The 16,299-nt window shown below is 38.7% G+C and overlaps 1 protein-coding gene across 2 annotated transcripts; it reads right to left on the reverse strand.

Moving 5' to 3' along the window:
• Positions 1 to 8,062: 8,062 nt before the first annotated feature.
• Positions 8,063 to 15,809, reverse strand: TRIM43B (tripartite motif containing 43B). Of its 2 annotated transcripts, none has more exons than NM_001164464.2 (7): positions 15,661 to 15,809; positions 13,359 to 13,773; positions 12,650 to 12,745; positions 11,360 to 11,590; positions 10,441 to 10,463; positions 9,815 to 9,912; positions 8,063 to 8,700 (listed from the first exon to the last, which is right to left on the reverse strand). In NM_001164464.2, the coding sequence occupies exons 2-7, from the start codon at positions 13,767 to 13,769 to the stop codon at positions 8,219 to 8,221; spliced, it is 1,341 nt and encodes a 446-aa protein (NP_001157936.1). In that variant the 5' UTR covers positions 13,770 to 13,773; positions 15,661 to 15,809; the 3' UTR covers positions 8,063 to 8,218. The 2 variants fall into 2 exon arrangements, with proteins under 2 accessions (NP_001157936.1, XP_011509971.1); XM_011511669.2 differs by lacking the exon at positions 15,661 to 15,809 and adding an exon at positions 14,341 to 14,410.
• Positions 15,810 to 16,299: the final 490 nt, after the last annotated feature.

Consider the following 16,299-nt stretch of genomic DNA (forward strand, 5'->3'; position numbering starts at 1 on the left):
TGTGAGATCTGGAGGCAGTTTCTGAAAATATTATTTTCCTGCCATTTTCCCTTCTGGAAAGCATTTTATATTTCTTCTCTAATGAAAAACATAGTCTATCATATTGTTATGAATTAATGTCCTAGTGAAGTCAGAGTCTTGAAGACATTCTTTATACAAGTGAAGGGAGAAAAGGCCCAGAGTCTATCTTCTGCAGTAACCATGAAGAACCTATCCAGTCATCTTCCCTAGGCCCTATTATAAAAGTGAATGGATGAAAAATAATATTTAGATTCCCCAAACTCCCAGTCTTGCCATGTCTCCAAACTGACCTAATGTAAATGAATTTCTCACTATTTTATAAATGTTCAAAAAGCCAAATATATTATTGACCGTAGATGGGGAATATTTATTAGGGCTGTTACCTTGACCATTCCACAAAGTTTTGTTGCTGGTGGATAAAGTAAGAGGGACCTTTTTTTCTGGTAAAATCCCTGGGAGGGGCTATACTCTACCCACAAAGTAGCATGAGTTATGGAAATGTGTTTCTGGAAAGAAGTCGTGGAAATACAGGGAAGAAGGCATTTCAGGAAAGAGGAAGAACACCTGTGCACATGAATGTTCCACATCCTGATACCCCATGGTCAGTCAGTACCTGGATTAGCTCCACATCTGGTTTATGGGACTTTTCCTTCAGCTCCTCATACATTCCTTTTAAAATCTCCCTCTCATGGGCCATTCTGGCATCGCTTTTATGGAGTTGCTAAAAATTGTCTTCGTCCTCCTTTTGAAGCATCTGCAAGTGATGTTGCTGTTCTTCATGGAGAAATGCAGGCATCTTCTGATATTCAGCTCTGATTGCTTCTATCTTTAAATTCACATAATCCTGCAGTAACAACGGGTTAGTCAAAAACAAAACCGACGTACTCATCTCCTATTGAATCTCACTGGTTCCTCTTTGTCTCTTGAACATCCCATATTTTAACTCTTAGTCTTGCCAATTCTCAGACTATACGAAATTTTACTCTGTTTTCTTTTCTGCATGAAGATCAACGAACATAGATGTATCTAACCAAATATATTCACTTTATTCGTGATAAAGTGTTTTTTCTAAGATAGTCATAAAGAAGAAAAACAAATTGGATTCCTCTTTTCCAACTCATATTTATAGAAAAGTAAGACAGTTCGGGCTTAATAGTTAGACTCTAGAGCTATATTGACTAGAAAGGGAATAATTATTTTCATTTCTGAAATTTGGGGCAAGTTATTTAAATTCATTATGTGTGAAATAGCCTCAGACTAGCATGCTCAACTCAATGCATTTCACCAAGCAAAACCTATGCTAATAAGGCTTCATTTATGATCTGGCCTTCTTTGTCTATCTAATCTCATTTCTTTCCATTGTTTTTCATACTGACTTTAACATAAAACATAAACTTCTTTGTGGTTCCTCAGCCCTCAAAATAAACACAAACTCAATATTACTGCACATGTTGTTTTCTTCACCTAGAATTCTCTCTGCCTCTCTTTCTCTCTCTAAGCATACACACACACACACAAACACACACACACACACACACACACACACACACACACTTGTGTTTGCCTTCCTCTTCAAGACGTTGTCTCAATATGAATTTTTCATTGAGGCATTTTCTGACCACCCTGTTTAAAACTCAAACTCTCGTCTCCAGTCCATGGCCTCTGTTCTCTTTTTCTAAGACCTTGGTATTTCAAATGAGCTAAGGATTCTTCATTTGAAATTGTCCAGTTGGAAGTCCTCTCTGACAGAGTTTCCCTTACTTGTGATTCAGAAATCCATCCACAGTCTCCTTTTAAAGTTACTTTTTGGATTTATAAAAAGTTGCATTCCACAAATACACTTTTAACCCCTCGGTTTTTCTGGACCATCAAAGCATTGCTCATCTGCCGAGAATCACAGGTATTGAAAACCACCTTAGACAGCAAATTCTCCCTTATGCAGGCATTTTTCTGAACCTGGACAACTGTTACTGTTTATTCACCCGGAAAATTTCCATTCATTCTTCAAGACTCATGCAAACGATTTGATCTTTGATTCTATATGTCCAATAGATAGATATTTGTGGCAGTTTCCATGTTGTACTGGGATTGTTGCTTTACTAGTGTGTCTGTTACTTCTACTAGATTGTGAGGTCTGGTTGAAAGAACTTCTCCTTTATTGTATCTCTGCCTCCACTTTCATGGCCTGACCTGGATTTTACCATTATAGAAAACTGCTAATCACAAAGTCTGCAATCACAAAGTCAAGAATCTCGCTTTATAATCAACGTTTCTTTTCTTTTTAGATTGGTTTTTCTGTATATGAGTTTAAATCTGTCTGATTACCTTTGGACCACAGTTTATTACTCTCTGTGGTTCTTGCAATTTGGGGGCTTCATCTTTTTTAACACTTCTCTTACTTCGGATCTTCTAGTGCATAATTTCAAAAATTTAGCACGAAAGGTAAGAAAGCAGAGTGCAGTTGATCATGCCTGTAATACCAGCCATTGGAAGGCTGCAGTGGGACGTTTCATGATTCAAGAAGTTTGAGACCAGCCTGGTCGACACTGTGAAACCTCATCATTACAGAAAAAAAACTTTACCCGGGTGTTGTGGCAAGCACCTGTAGTCCCAGCTACTGGGGAGGCTGAGGTGGGAGGATTGCTGGAGCACAGGGTGTTGAGGCTGCAGTTAGCTGGAATGCCCATCTCTGCATGCCAGCCTGGGTGACAGAGGAAGACCCTGTCTCAAAACAAACAGATAAACAAAAAAGTAACAATACAAAATATCTTACTAACGTTTGTAATGTTAATCGTGTCGAAACCTATTGGATATATTTGGTTAACGATTTTTATTAAAATTAATTTCAGTTGTTTCTTATTGTTTTATAATGTAACTAGAAAATGTATTCCCACTATGCAGCCATAAAAAATTATTAGATCATGTCTTTTGCAGGGACAGGGAAGGAGCTGGAGGCTATTATCTTTAGCAAACTAACACAGGAACAGAAAACCAAATAGTGCATGTTCTCACTTATAAGTGGGAGCTAAATAATGAGAACATATGGACACATAGAGGGGAACAACACACGCTGGGACCTATAGGAGGGTGGGGGATTAGAAGAGGGAGAGGATCAGGAAAAATAACTAATGGGTGCTAGGCTTGAGACCTGGTTGATAAAATAATCTATACAACAAACCCTGATGACACAAGATTACCCATGTAACAAACCTGCGCATGTATTGCTATACTTAAAATAAAGGTTTAAAAAAGTATTTTCTTCTCTTTCTTTTACAGTGTCTCTGTAAATGCATGAATTAAAGAAAAGCAATGAATATATTTTTCATGGGATAATATTCAAGATATATAGAAACAAAACTTCTGAGATTTAATTAAAACAATGTTAAGAAGAAAATGTATAGCATTATATTCATCTGTTATTTAGAAATAAAGCATTAAATTCATCTGTTATCTATCCCAAAGAGCCAGATAAACAAGAGTAAATTCATGCCAAAATCTAAAAAAAAAAATTGTAGAATATTGATTAAAAAGCATACAGTAGATAAAATCAATGAAGTAGGCTTTTTTTTTGTTTGTTTGAGACAGAGTCTCACTCTGTCACCCAGGCTGGAGTGCAGTGGTGCGATCTCGGCTCCTTGCAACCTCTGCCACCCAGGTTCAAGTGATTCTCCTTCCTTAGCCACCCGAGTAGCTGGGATTACAAGCACGTGCCATCACGCTTGACTAATTTTTGTATTTTTAGTAGAGCTGGGGTTTCACCATGTTGGCTGGGCTGGTCTCAAACTCCTAACCTCAAATAATCCACCCACCTCGGCCTCCCAAAGTGCTGGGATTACAGGTGTGAGCCACCACACCCACCAAAAGTAGGCTCTTTAAATAGATCAATTAAATTGATAAATTCTTAGTGAGACTCAATTAAAAAATGGAGAAGAGGAGTTCAAATCAAAAATAAATAGGCCAACACTTAGGTCATCCACAAATTAATATGTTAATAAGAAGATTTTAAGATGACTTTTATGTTCATACACTTGATGATTTAGATGAAATGAGAAATTTCCCTGAAAAACATATCTGACAAAAACCAACAGAAGAAACCATAGACAAATCTAAGATATGATTTAGATTCTAAAAATTTACCCTATTATTTAAAAAACAAAACTTCTCCCAGCGAAAAACCTGGTGATCTTTTTCAGTGAAATATTCACAACATTTAAGAAAAAAAAATCACACGCTTTTAGACAAACCCTTCTAGAGAACAGAAAAAAGCAGTAATACTTCCCAACTTGTAACTTTGGTTTTCTGTTGTGTTTTCTTTTACTTTTTGTAAACAGCTTCTCTCTCTGTTGCCCAAGCTGAAGTGCGATGGCAAGATCATAGCTCACTGAAGCCCAGAACTTCTAGGCTCGAGTGATCCTCCTGTCTTGGCCTCCCAAAGGGCTGTGATGACAGGCTCTAGCTGCTGTGCCAAGCTCCAACATATAATTTTGATATTCGATCCTGAAAAGTGTGTTACAAGAAATGCAAATTGCAGTACAGACTCTAAAATAAATATAGGTGCAACAATTCAAAAAAGCTAGCTAGTCAAATCTTGTGAGAGATAAACTCATATCATCTCCAAGTGGAGCTTATTCTAGAAAGGTTGACTAATGTAACATCAGAAAATGAAATAAGTAATCACGACATGAACAGGATGAAATACATATCATTGTTCCTGTAAAAAGAGGAAGAAAATATTTGATACAATGAAATGGTCATTTATGATTTTGAAAGCACTATTAAAAACAAATAGCCATGAACTTTCTCTAATAAGAATGTAATAACTTAGAGCCAGTACCATATTTAATGGAGAATTTGAAAGCTTCTACCCAGGAATGGGAATGAGATATAAATCCTGTTATCATCACTTGTGTTCAACACCTTGCTTGATCTCCTTTTCAATGCAACTAGACAAGAAAAAGAAGTAAATAATGTGAGGGTTGAATAGAAATAAAGATATCATAATTGCAAAACGTGACAGTTCAGTTAAAAAATAACTCTCTAAACCATTAGATATATTCGTGAATTGAAAAACAAATTGAGTCATGCATGCTTCTAAGACAATAGTTAAAAGTGAGAGTAAGCCAGACGCATTGGCTGACACCTATAATCCCAGCACATATATATACATACACACACACACACACACACACACACACACACAATTACTGTGAATATACAACTGCTATATTATATAAAAATATGCCTAACACACCCATACACCCCACACCCACACACAAGGCTTTGAGAAGGGCACTTTGTTCTGGGAAGGAGGCTTATGAGCAGTGAGTTTGGGAATCAAACCCAGGCAATTTAGCTTCAAGACATTGCTCTTAACCATGATACCATATTACTCTCAGCTGACTTTTTCATAGTGGGTGATAATACACAGTAGCCTCACAGCAATTCCAGGAAATGTAAGCACTCAAGAATTATTTTGAAATCTGCAGGAAATGTTGCTTGCTGTCTTCTTTATCCCTTGTTCTCTGCAACTTTGGTTTTCCTCACCAAGGGTTATTTTTCTGACACATTTATGGGTGCATTCCATTAAAGAAAGAGTTTTACTTGGTGTCAGGCACTGACAGAAGCTCTCTTTCTCCATATATGCCTGAACTTGACTGTCCTCCTTCTGTTCCAATTATTTAACCCTGAATACCTTTTACCCTTTTAGATGTCACAAGGATGTGACTGAGCAGTTTCAAGGACACCAACTTTTGCTTTCTCCTCCTCCCTTAGAATCCTGCATCTGCATTGCTGGTCTCAGACAGAACAGGGAACCCCTATTTCCCATTCTGGGATATTTTAATGATCAACTCTTCTTATGTTGTGAATTTGAAGGGCATGGACAGATCATTGCAAAGCGGACAGACAGGGACCTGCGTTCTGAGAACTGGGCCAGAAAACTGACAGAGGGACAGAAGAATTTCAGAGTGATTCTGGCAGGCATCATGGTTCAGTACGGGCCAGAGGAGTGGAACATATGGGCACAGGTTGAGAGGACTGCGACAAGACAGGGCCTATCTCCTTTGCAGCAGAATGTTAATAGATATTATATTTTAGTAAACAGAGGACATTTCTCTGAGTCAGCATCAAAAACTTTCACAGTCTGGAAGAATGAACAGTCACAGGACCGAGCCTCACCTTTCCTTCTGAGTATGAGAGGCTACAAGGCAATGAGAATGGAACAGCTTTTATCTGAGGTTAAAGCCAGTGTCTCTCTCTTCAGCCCACACTTACTGGTAAGGTCCAGTGGATGACTCAGCTACAGGTTTCTGAATTTCTGGCTTTTGAGGGAAAGACTTTGTCACCCTCTATGCTGAAGGTATTCTACGTACTATGAACCCCAGTCAGTGGTTCTTAACATCAAGAAATCTTGGGAAGTACAAGGCATTCAGAAGGCCTACATGAATAGTTTGCAGCCGCGTATAGACATCAGAAGGCGGTTCCTGACAAGGATGCCCTGACCTTTTTCATCTCATTGACATAGAATTACTGTGTCTCTCCCTGGTCATCTTGAAGGAGATGGACCACCCCTTCCCCCCCTCTACTCCAGTGTCATGTGCATCTTCCTCAGTGATTTTGCTGTGCTGTGTTCATAATGATTGTCCAGTTGATACCAAATCTTGAAGAAAATTTCCAAAAGAATATTTACCTGGTCAATTGTCAATTGCCCTTTTCCAGGAATCTGGAACTTGAATGGTGTTTCTATAAGGGGCTCGTTGGATCTCATGTTTTACAGGACCCCCAGTCTCTGGATATAGATCCTCAGTGTCCACTTCTTAGGAAGAGTAGGTGTAGTAGGTTATATTCCTCCCCCACTCTCTCTAAAAGAGTGCTAAAATATATATTCCATCCCACATTGTTTTTCTATGATGTAACTTCAAGACTGCTACTGCTGTGTGTGTGTTCTAGTCCCTTTACTTTGTGTAGGGTTGTGGCTACAGCTGATGTTTTACTCTCTGGAATAATGGTAGTATACAATTCTCCTGACTCTATGGGAATCTTCACTGTGGAAAATTATCTACCATGCTGTGAGCAAGCCCAGGGAGCTACCTGGAAAGGCCGTTTGAATATATTCTAGGTAACAGCCCCAAGCAATGAACCTCAGACATCAGCCAGGATCATCTGCTGGACTGGAAGTAGAATGTTTCCATTATTTAATCAGTGATCATGAAAATGACCATCTGGTGGCTAGACAGACTCAATGGACTCACTATAAACTGGGTTTTCATCAGAACTGGGTTTTGTTTGTTTCACTTTTTGTTTTGGTTTAATTTAGTTAGTTTGTTTATTTATTTATTTATTTATTTTTACCTGATACTAATATGTTTCCAATGTAACATGAGGTGTTGGTTATGTCTGGTCTCTAGGTTGTCAATGAGAATTCACAGTCTGTGTGAATTGGAAATATAAACACATTTTAAAGCAGACAGTCTGCACATCTATTATTCCCTGGATGATGCTGTTTGCTTTATTAAACAGCTGCAGAATTCAATGTGGGTTAAACCCTTTTGGTTCTTGCTCAGACATCGCTAGCAAATTCTCAGAAAAGCAATAGGCTGTACCATTAGCCTATGTCTGTAGATGAATATACTATCTAGGTTTTTGTAGTGTGTTCTGATGTTCACACAATGATGAAATCGCCTAATAATGCATTTCTCAGAATGTATTTTGTTGCCATAGGATGCATGACTGTTAAATTCCTGTTCTAGCCCAAAGATTCAGTGACAACTTCTGTGTGAAATAAATTTTTCCCCCCAAAGGGATGAGGTGTAGAATTTACTGTATTAATAGGAGGGAACTCTCACACTTACAAGTGCATTGTACAAAACCCCGTCTGCCCATGATGTACAAAAGTTGTTCCTGAATGAGATCATTAAGTTGGAATCACACACCCACATATTTCCAGAATTCCATCCAATAAATTCACAAACACTTGAAAATCACAATACGTATTTTAGGTAATGGTCCATAAGAGATTATTTTAATTGTAAGAAAATGTACAAAAAGTTTTGCCTTTTACAAATTTTTTATTTAATAGCAATAAAAATGAAGTGACACTAAAGTACAAAAAAGCCTGAACAGTATGATTTCTTTGTATCAACAGTGAAGGGCTCCCTTGTATATGGAGTTCCCAAACAGTAAGTTTTCTTAATCCTGATCATCTGTGGCCAGTGTAAAAGAAAGGCCTGACAGGAAAAGTTAAGGAGCCAGCTGGGTAACTCCATATGAGGGAACTCTTGGTGACATTCAAAAAACTCACACTTCCACTTTCAAAATCAAGAAACACACCAACCCGGCCCAGAGGTTTCTCTATGTAGTGAGGAAACACTGGGGAGGTGGTCAAGAGATTGAAATGATTATCCACCTTCAGACACAAAAGAAGAAATATGTCCTCAGAGTTAACCATTGTGCTATTCTTCCTTATCCAGGAGTTGTTACAGACTCCCAGAGCCCAGTCACAAGAGTTGTCCACATCCAGCTCCCAGTAGTGTTTCCCAAAGGAGAAGACCCTGGCTCCCCATGCAGCAAAATAGTCAGATCTGTCAGAATTCAAAGGTCCACGTCTAAACATCCAACTTCTCACATCCTCAAAGAGCCTGATATTGTGATTGGTTACTTCAAAATGGAAGGAAATTTCCACTGTAGAAAAAAGAGAATGTTCCAGTGAAAATCAGTTTGTAAATTCTTATGTTCAGATAAGAAAGAGATTCTCACTAGAAAACACAGGTCAAGATTAGAAAGAAACTTCTGTCTGGAAAAATGTTGGAATCAAAGGGTGTTAGGAGATCTGCACAAGTAAATGGCTAAACTAGGATGATCACAATTTCCATAAACTCAAAAAGTATAAAGGGGAGGAAGGTCATGTCTATGTCTCGTTAGCGACCTTTCATAACAACTGAAAAACTGGAAGCTCCTCCACTGCAGCCAAGTCCATAGCCATAAAATTAACCTTCATTGTCTCGTCTCTGTCAGGGCAGAGCAGGAGGCTTTGGACAGGAGATGAGGTGGGGAGCTATTCTTAGTCCCAAATAAAAAAGTTATCACTTTCCAGAAATATTATGATCTGCCACTTAACCTAGCAAATTCATACTTAAAGAGAAAACCTGAATCTGCCTTCTGAAAAGTGCTGATTCCTTGCAAAAATTATCTGACTTTCATGCCAGATTCAGGCACAGACTTCTTTTATTCTGCTGGATTTGTCATGATCTATCCTGGAGTTCTATCTAAGACCTCATCAACCACCAAATCATGTTCCTATTGTTGACAGATTCTCAGTTTTTGCATTGTTATATAAGTTACTCATGTATGCTTTAGTTGATTAAAAACATGATTAAAATTATAAATGCTATGAAACATCACCTAAAAATGTATTTTTTTTAAAAAAACGCTGTCACTCAAATCAGTCGTTAACTGCACTGAATTTGAAATTGAAATGTCCTGAATTCAGTTCTGTATACTTCATGTAATAATTGTATACATGAAATTGTATCAGAGAATGGTTCCTAAAGTCCTAAAGAGCCCTTCTGCATGTTTTATTTTTCTAAGAAATTTGTTATATGGCTGATTCCTATTACATTTCACCAGCTTTTATTTCGTTTTGTCTGTTTGATGATAGTGAAACTATAAATATAAATACCTATTCACAGGCTATTCTCTTCTTCTAGATGAAAGATCATTACACTGGGAAAGCTGCCCATAGAAAACCATAATTGAAGGCATTGCATGTGGATCCCACCAACAGGGCCACACTCACCTCGGAAGCGGTTGAGCCTGTACACCAGTCCAGTGATGGGTCCTGCAGTGAGCTCTGGATTCACAGGCTGGGGCATGTGCAGCAGCACGGACTCACTCCTGCAAGGAAGTAGGTTGAGTTGGTTAACTTTCTGATGTCTGTGTTTAAGAAACAGATTCCAACAGAAAATGCTTCATTCAAACCCACTTCTGATACCGTAATGTACCTCCACAACGCTAGGATGGGTTTGTGGCTCTTAGGGAATCTTTCTAACTATTCACTCCATTTCTAACCTACTGCCCCTGAAAGATAAATGCCTCTCTCCCTATCTGCCACCAAATAGTTTATCTCTAATTATGATTCTGAATCGCAAAAAGAGGCAACTGTATTCTAGCAACCTCTGCATTGCACTCTTCAAAACATAAACCCCTGAGTCACTTGGGAAAGTAAGAAAAGATTAATGTCTGATAAAAGGCATAGATGACATTCATCATACCACATAAACACATGACTACACACACATACACACACAATCACACTGACACATTATGGTGTTAGTAAATTATGTTTTCACTTTGTTGGAAACAGCTTGATGTTTTTCATAGCATGCCTTGTGCTCCAGTTTGCACTGACGGCCAAAAACATACCTTGCCACGATGTCTCCCAAATCCTGTAGAGAGAGAGAGAAAAAAAAAATGACTTCTTTAGAAAGTTGTTATTCTTGTTGGGTGAGGTGGTTCACACCTGTAATCCCAGCACTTTGGGAGGCCAAGGTGGGTGGAACACCTGAGGTCAGGAGTTCCAGACTAGCCTGGACAACATGGCAAATCCCCGTCTCTACTAAAAATACACACACACACACAAATAGTGGGGTGTGGTGGTTCATGCCTTTAGTCCCAGCTACTAGGGAGGCTGAGGCAGGAGAATTGCTTGAACCAAGGAGGCAGAAGTTGCAGTGAGCTGAGATTGGGCCATTGGACTTCAGTCTGGGTGACAGAAGAAGACTCTGTCTCAAAATAAACACACAAAAAAGTTGCTATTCTGCCTATCTGGTCTTTAGGTTTTCAAAACTTTAGAATTACCGTATACTATTACTGCCACTCTTTTAAAATGTATTCTCATCTCTAACAATTATACCAGTAAGACCTATTGACAATATGGATTTCTGATAAATTAAGGACCCTAAATTTGAGTGAGAGAGAAAGGTGTGAGTAGTGACTGCGCATTGCTGCAGCTGTCTACAATGTGGTCTTTTTCAGGGCTAGTCCCCAAAGTGTAATGTGGCTCAAATCAAGCATGAAATTTTTTCTTCCAGAGTTTTAATGAAATGTGCTGGAGGAGGAAGCTTGTGGTAGAAAATGTTGTATGGAAATCTAGTTGCACAATTCCATAAAGCTTTATTTCCATGATTAGCGTAGGAGTTATAGTTTATCTCTATAACCGGTGGGAATGACTCTCACCGTCAGTGCAGGAGATGAGGAAATAATGTCTTTGGTACCCAATGGAAGGCAAAGATGTAAAGGTCAGCTAACACAAAGTGTCTCAAGGGGCATCCTCCATTCTTACCTGGAGCAGCTCCACCTCTGGTTTATGACACATTTCCATTAGTTCCTGATACATTTCTTTCAAGTGTTTACTCTTTTGATCCATTTTGACCCAACTTCTCTGGAGTTGCTGAAAAATCTCTTGGTATTCCTTGTTCAGTCTCTCTAAATGTTGTTTTTCTTCCTTATGGAGAACCGGATGCAGCTTCCTATACTCATTCCTGATCATCTGTGCCCGTAAAACCACATCGCCCTGTAGGGATATGAATTTTGTAGGTTATATACCCAGGCCTACTTCCACCTCACAGAGCCCACAACTTCATCCTCCTCATTCCTTCTTTTATTTTCCATCCTTTACAAACAGGATGATGAGTTAAGCAAGACCTTCCTTCAAAATTTATGTAATTCATCAATTCCCAAACACCTGCAAAAAAGCCCTTTAGGTTTAAATGTTTAAATCAAATCGGAAATACAATTAGAAAACAACTAAAATTTATGATTGATTGTTACATTGTCATGGATAATACACATAATCTTTGTTATTCACTTAGGTTGTTGTTTCAAATCTCTGTACTTCACAGCCTGAACAATCACTCTTAGTAGAAATGTTTTTAGTATATTATAATCAGGATCAGAAGCCATCACACAAAAAGGATCTTAGTAAAAAATTTAACCCCCATCTCTCAAACCGACTACCTCTTTTCTGTCTCCTATCTTTCTTCTGTCAAATCCATAGACTCTGTATTGCACTGCCATTCTAAGAACATTAATCCCCATTCCATTGTGTTTCTCCTCTCAATAATGACATATTTATCCTCTCACTGCCCCAGTCATTTTTTATCCCTTCTCCTCAGCTTTTCCTCATGTTGCATTTTCTCCTACTCGGACTGGCATCATGTGGGTCCTTTGCTACCAGATTTCACCAGCACAGGCACATTTCTTAAATTACTGTTCCCACCCGATTTCTTCCCCCGGACAATACCATATTCACCAATAAATGCCTTTATTTCTCAATTATATACTATTTAATCAATATTTCATAATTCATTTTATACAGAAAACTGTCTGAAATACTTATTAATTTTAAGCACATACTTGCCCTTCAGAATTTATATTTATTTTTTACTTATCTGAAAAGCATTTACAGAAAACCTGAACAATCGTTATGTTGAACAGTCTGGTTGTTTTCCAGCCTATGAATAAACACATGACAAAATCTGGCATATGAGAATTTCAACTCAAGTTGCTAATATAAATGTTGTCAGCATGCCTGTCTCAAGCTGGTCAGGAGGACTCACGGTCTCATACTTACCCTCAAGAGGAAGGCTGTTCTTCTCTCCTCATATAGATTTCTCTGATTTTCTTGAATCTTTTTCCATAAAATCCTCATTTGCTTTAAGAGTTTCTCCTGCAAAAGAATTAAAGGTTGAACAGAAAGTCAAATACCAAAGATTCCACCATCTGAGTGGTATAAGCAGGCAAGGGATCTAATATATAAATACATTAGTGAGAGGAGAAAAAAACAAAATTTTTCATTGCTCATCCTTAATTGATATTTTTCAGTTTGAGGTTTCAGAATGTAGAACAGTTTAGGGAACTGAAGAGTGAAGATTTCCTGTAACCCAGCTAAATTAGTTCAGGGAAACATCCTGCTTCAGAACCCACTATGCTAGCCCCTGATTTTGTAGTGTGCTACTCCCATACTCATTTGTCCAGTAATATTAAATATATTTCCAAAATACCTTTCTTTGCACTGGTAGTTTTGGTAGCTTTTCAATGTCATTAGCATTGAACTGTAGAGTCAATAATAATGACATTTACTTAATCAGTCTCTTTTTGGGTGCAAGCTCCATGAAGGAAGGTAGAGTTGCACATTTTATTCAAAATGTCATCATTGGTACCTAGAACAGCACCTGGCACTCAGTAAAGAATGGAGTAATCACCGTGATTCTCATCATCCTTCTAATCTCTTTAACTCTGCCACCCTCCAGCTTTCAGGTGATCACAGAGCTATCTCTTACCCGGTCTTCCTCAGCTGCCTCTTCGATGGGATAGTGTTTGTGAGCCCCGTGCTCCTGAGAGTTGGAGCACAGCAAGCAGAGGAGACTCTTGTCCATGTCACAGAACATCTTCTTTGTTTGCCTATGGGTCCCACATATTTGTTTCTCAGAGCTCAGGAATTGCCAGAGACTGGCTTTTCTGGCAATGGTCACTAAATTCTTCAGAAGAATATTGGTTTTGAAGTCCATTTTCGGTGATGGTTCCCTGCATGCAGGGCAGTTTGCAGGACTTTGGGCTTCCTCCCACGAAAGGCAGAGACAGGGCCTACAGAAGCTGTGCCCACAGCAGATGGTGACAGGGTCTACCAGGTAGTTCAAACAGATGACACAGGTGAGTTCCTTCTGGAAGGCATGTGAGAAGTCTGAGTCCATTTTCCTAAGGAAAGAAAACCACAGGAATTTAATCTTCTACCCTGGAGAGACAAAGATCCAAGCAAAGTTTGAATCAGATCGTGATCGAATAATATCCTTTCTTTCTAAAGAAGTATAGGTTTTAATTTGCAATGACAGAAATAGGAAAAATAGAAAACTAAGGCACAAAGAGACATCAATCTCTATAAAAAGTGACTGTTCTCCAATCAACACATGACCAGCTTTCCAAACTCTACTTTCTTGCATGGAAGAATGTCGGATTTTTTGAGGTGTTAGTATCCACCAAATTGCTTGGGCTTCAAGGGTTTCATCAACCTGTAAACTCAAAGTTTGAGTCTTGAACGGTCTGAAAATCAGTAACAGTCTTCATTGCCAGTGATTGGTTTAGAGAAGGAAAGCTAACTAAGCTCTTCTACTCTCATTATTTTATTTAACTATAACAACCATCCATAATGACTTTTCCAGAAGGACATTGCTTGAAAATGTTAGAGCAGAACTCATACTTTGACCCAAATCAGAAAAAGCCAGCCTTTACTCTCCAAGGAAAAACAGTCAAATCAAGGTAAGTTACCTCTCCAAGGTAAAGCTAAGAATCATTGTTTTTCTAGGCTGCTATGTTAATTTAATCAACAAAAACTTTCTGGCATGTTTCCTGTTCCTGGACAGTCTGTTAATTTGGGGATATACTGGTTAATATTACAACATCTTTAAAAGACAGACAATTAATTCAATTTACAAAAAGATAATGATAATTGAAGCATTATCATTACTCTTTCACACAGTCAGGAAAAGAGTAAGTATCATGCAATAACAGGCACTAGAGGCCGGGCACGGTGGCTGACGCCTGTAATCCGAGCACTTTGGGAGGCCGAGGTGGCTGAGGCTGGCAGATCACGATGTCACGAGATCAAGACCATCCTGGCTAACATGGTGAATCCCTAACTCTACTAAAAAATACAAAAAATTAGCCGGGAGTGGTGGAGGACGCCTGTAGTCCCAGCTACTCTGGAGGCGGGGCCTGGAGAATGGCGTGAACCCGGGAGGCGGAGCTTGCAGTGAGCCGAGATAGTGCCACAGCACTCCAGTCTGGGTAACAGAGCAAGACTCTGTCTCCCCCCCAAAACAAAAACAAAAACAAAAACGAGGCACTAGACAGTTAAGTCAGCGTTTTAAATGTATGTTTTGCTAAAATACAAATAAAAATTAAAACCAAGCCAGGGAAGGTGACTCAAGCCTGTAATCCCAGCATTTTGGGAGGCCAAGTCAGGCAGGTATTTTGAGCTCAGGAACTCTAGACTGGTGACACGGTAAAATGTCTAGATCATCCTGTCTCTAAAAATACTTATATAAATTTAAAAAAAAAAAAAAAAAAAAGGCCGGGCGCGGTGGCTCAGGCCTGTAATCCCAACACTTTCAGAGGCCGAGGTGAACGGATCACAAGATCAAGAGATGGAGACCATCCTGGCCAACATAATGAAACCCCGTCTCTACTAAAAAAAATACAAAATTTAGATGGGCGTGGTGGCAGGCGGCTATATTTCCAGCTACTCTGGAGGCGGAGGCTGAAGAATCGTTTGAACCTGGAAGGCGGAGGTTGCAGTGAGCCAAGAGCGCCGCCGCACTCCAGCCTGGCAATAGAGCGTGATTCCATCTCAAAATAAATAAATAAACAAATAAATAAATAGCTGAACATGGTGGCCCATGTTTAATCCATAAACCTATGGATTATGTTTAAAATAATTTTAAAAAAGAAATGGAGCCTTTTTAAAACTCGGAAAATGAGATCATTCCATCTAAAAATAATCTAAGTTTGCAGATAAATTAAAGTCCCCAAATTTTGTTTTGGTTTGTAACCTAATAGTAGATCCTTCTCTGGAAATTGTGTACTTACCTCAGAAATATATCTATGTTCTCACCAAAGCTTGCTGTCGAATCAGATGGATTCAGCTCAGGGATGAGAGTCTCACAGTGCAGTGCTGGTAGCTTTCGGAAGTCCCCAAAGCCAGTTGCAAAGCTACTCTGTGGGCTCTGGAGAAGAATGAGCTTGGCTCCTGAAGTGTCGGTTTATAAATCTCTGAAGACCACACCCCTTTCTTCCAATTGATTGCATTTCACAGGGCGTAGGTGGGTGTTAACATAGATGATTAAGTTTCTTCAGAACAGAAGTTTTATCTTTATTTATTTATTTTTTTTGAAAGGAGTCTGGCTCTGTCGCTGGCTAGTTTTTTTCTTGCATTTTTAGTAGAGAGGGGGTTTGATATAATTGATATAATAGGAATTGCAAATAGAGAAGCCCACACAAGCTAACCAAATTAATTCTAGTTTATTGGATAAATGGCGTGATATGTATTCTAGTTCAAATTTGAAGGTTGGTATAAACCTTTTCAGACACTGGAGATGAGACATTTCACCAAGATTGGGTGTGAGGAAGAGGAAAGAAATAGAATAGTATATAAAATAGTATATAGAGTAAAAATATAGTAAAAGGAAAAATCAATCTGCATAATATAGTGTATGGCTAAATGTGTTT

The sequence above is a fragment of the Homo sapiens genome, chromosome 2 (assembly GCF_000001405.40).
Source record: "Homo sapiens chromosome 2, GRCh38.p14 Primary Assembly".
Lineage (NCBI taxonomy): Eukaryota > Metazoa > Chordata > Mammalia > Primates > Hominidae > Homo > Homo sapiens.

What these genes read in the sequence shown, in the direction of transcription:
- TRIM43B (XM_011511669.2), bottom strand. Translation starts at nt 14,366, where the DNA reads ATGATTCTTAGCTTTACCTTGGAGAG. An exon ending in CTTAGCTTTACCTTGGAGAG is followed by an intron (nt 13,774 to 14,340) that starts GTAACTTACCTT and finishes TTCTTTCCTTAG; the next exon opens with GAAAATGGACTCAGACTTCT. An exon ending in TTGGGAGACATCGTGGCAAG is followed by an intron (nt 9,913 to 10,440) that starts GTATGTTTTTGG and finishes ACTTCCTTGCAG; the next exon opens with GAGTGAGTCCGTGCTGCTGC.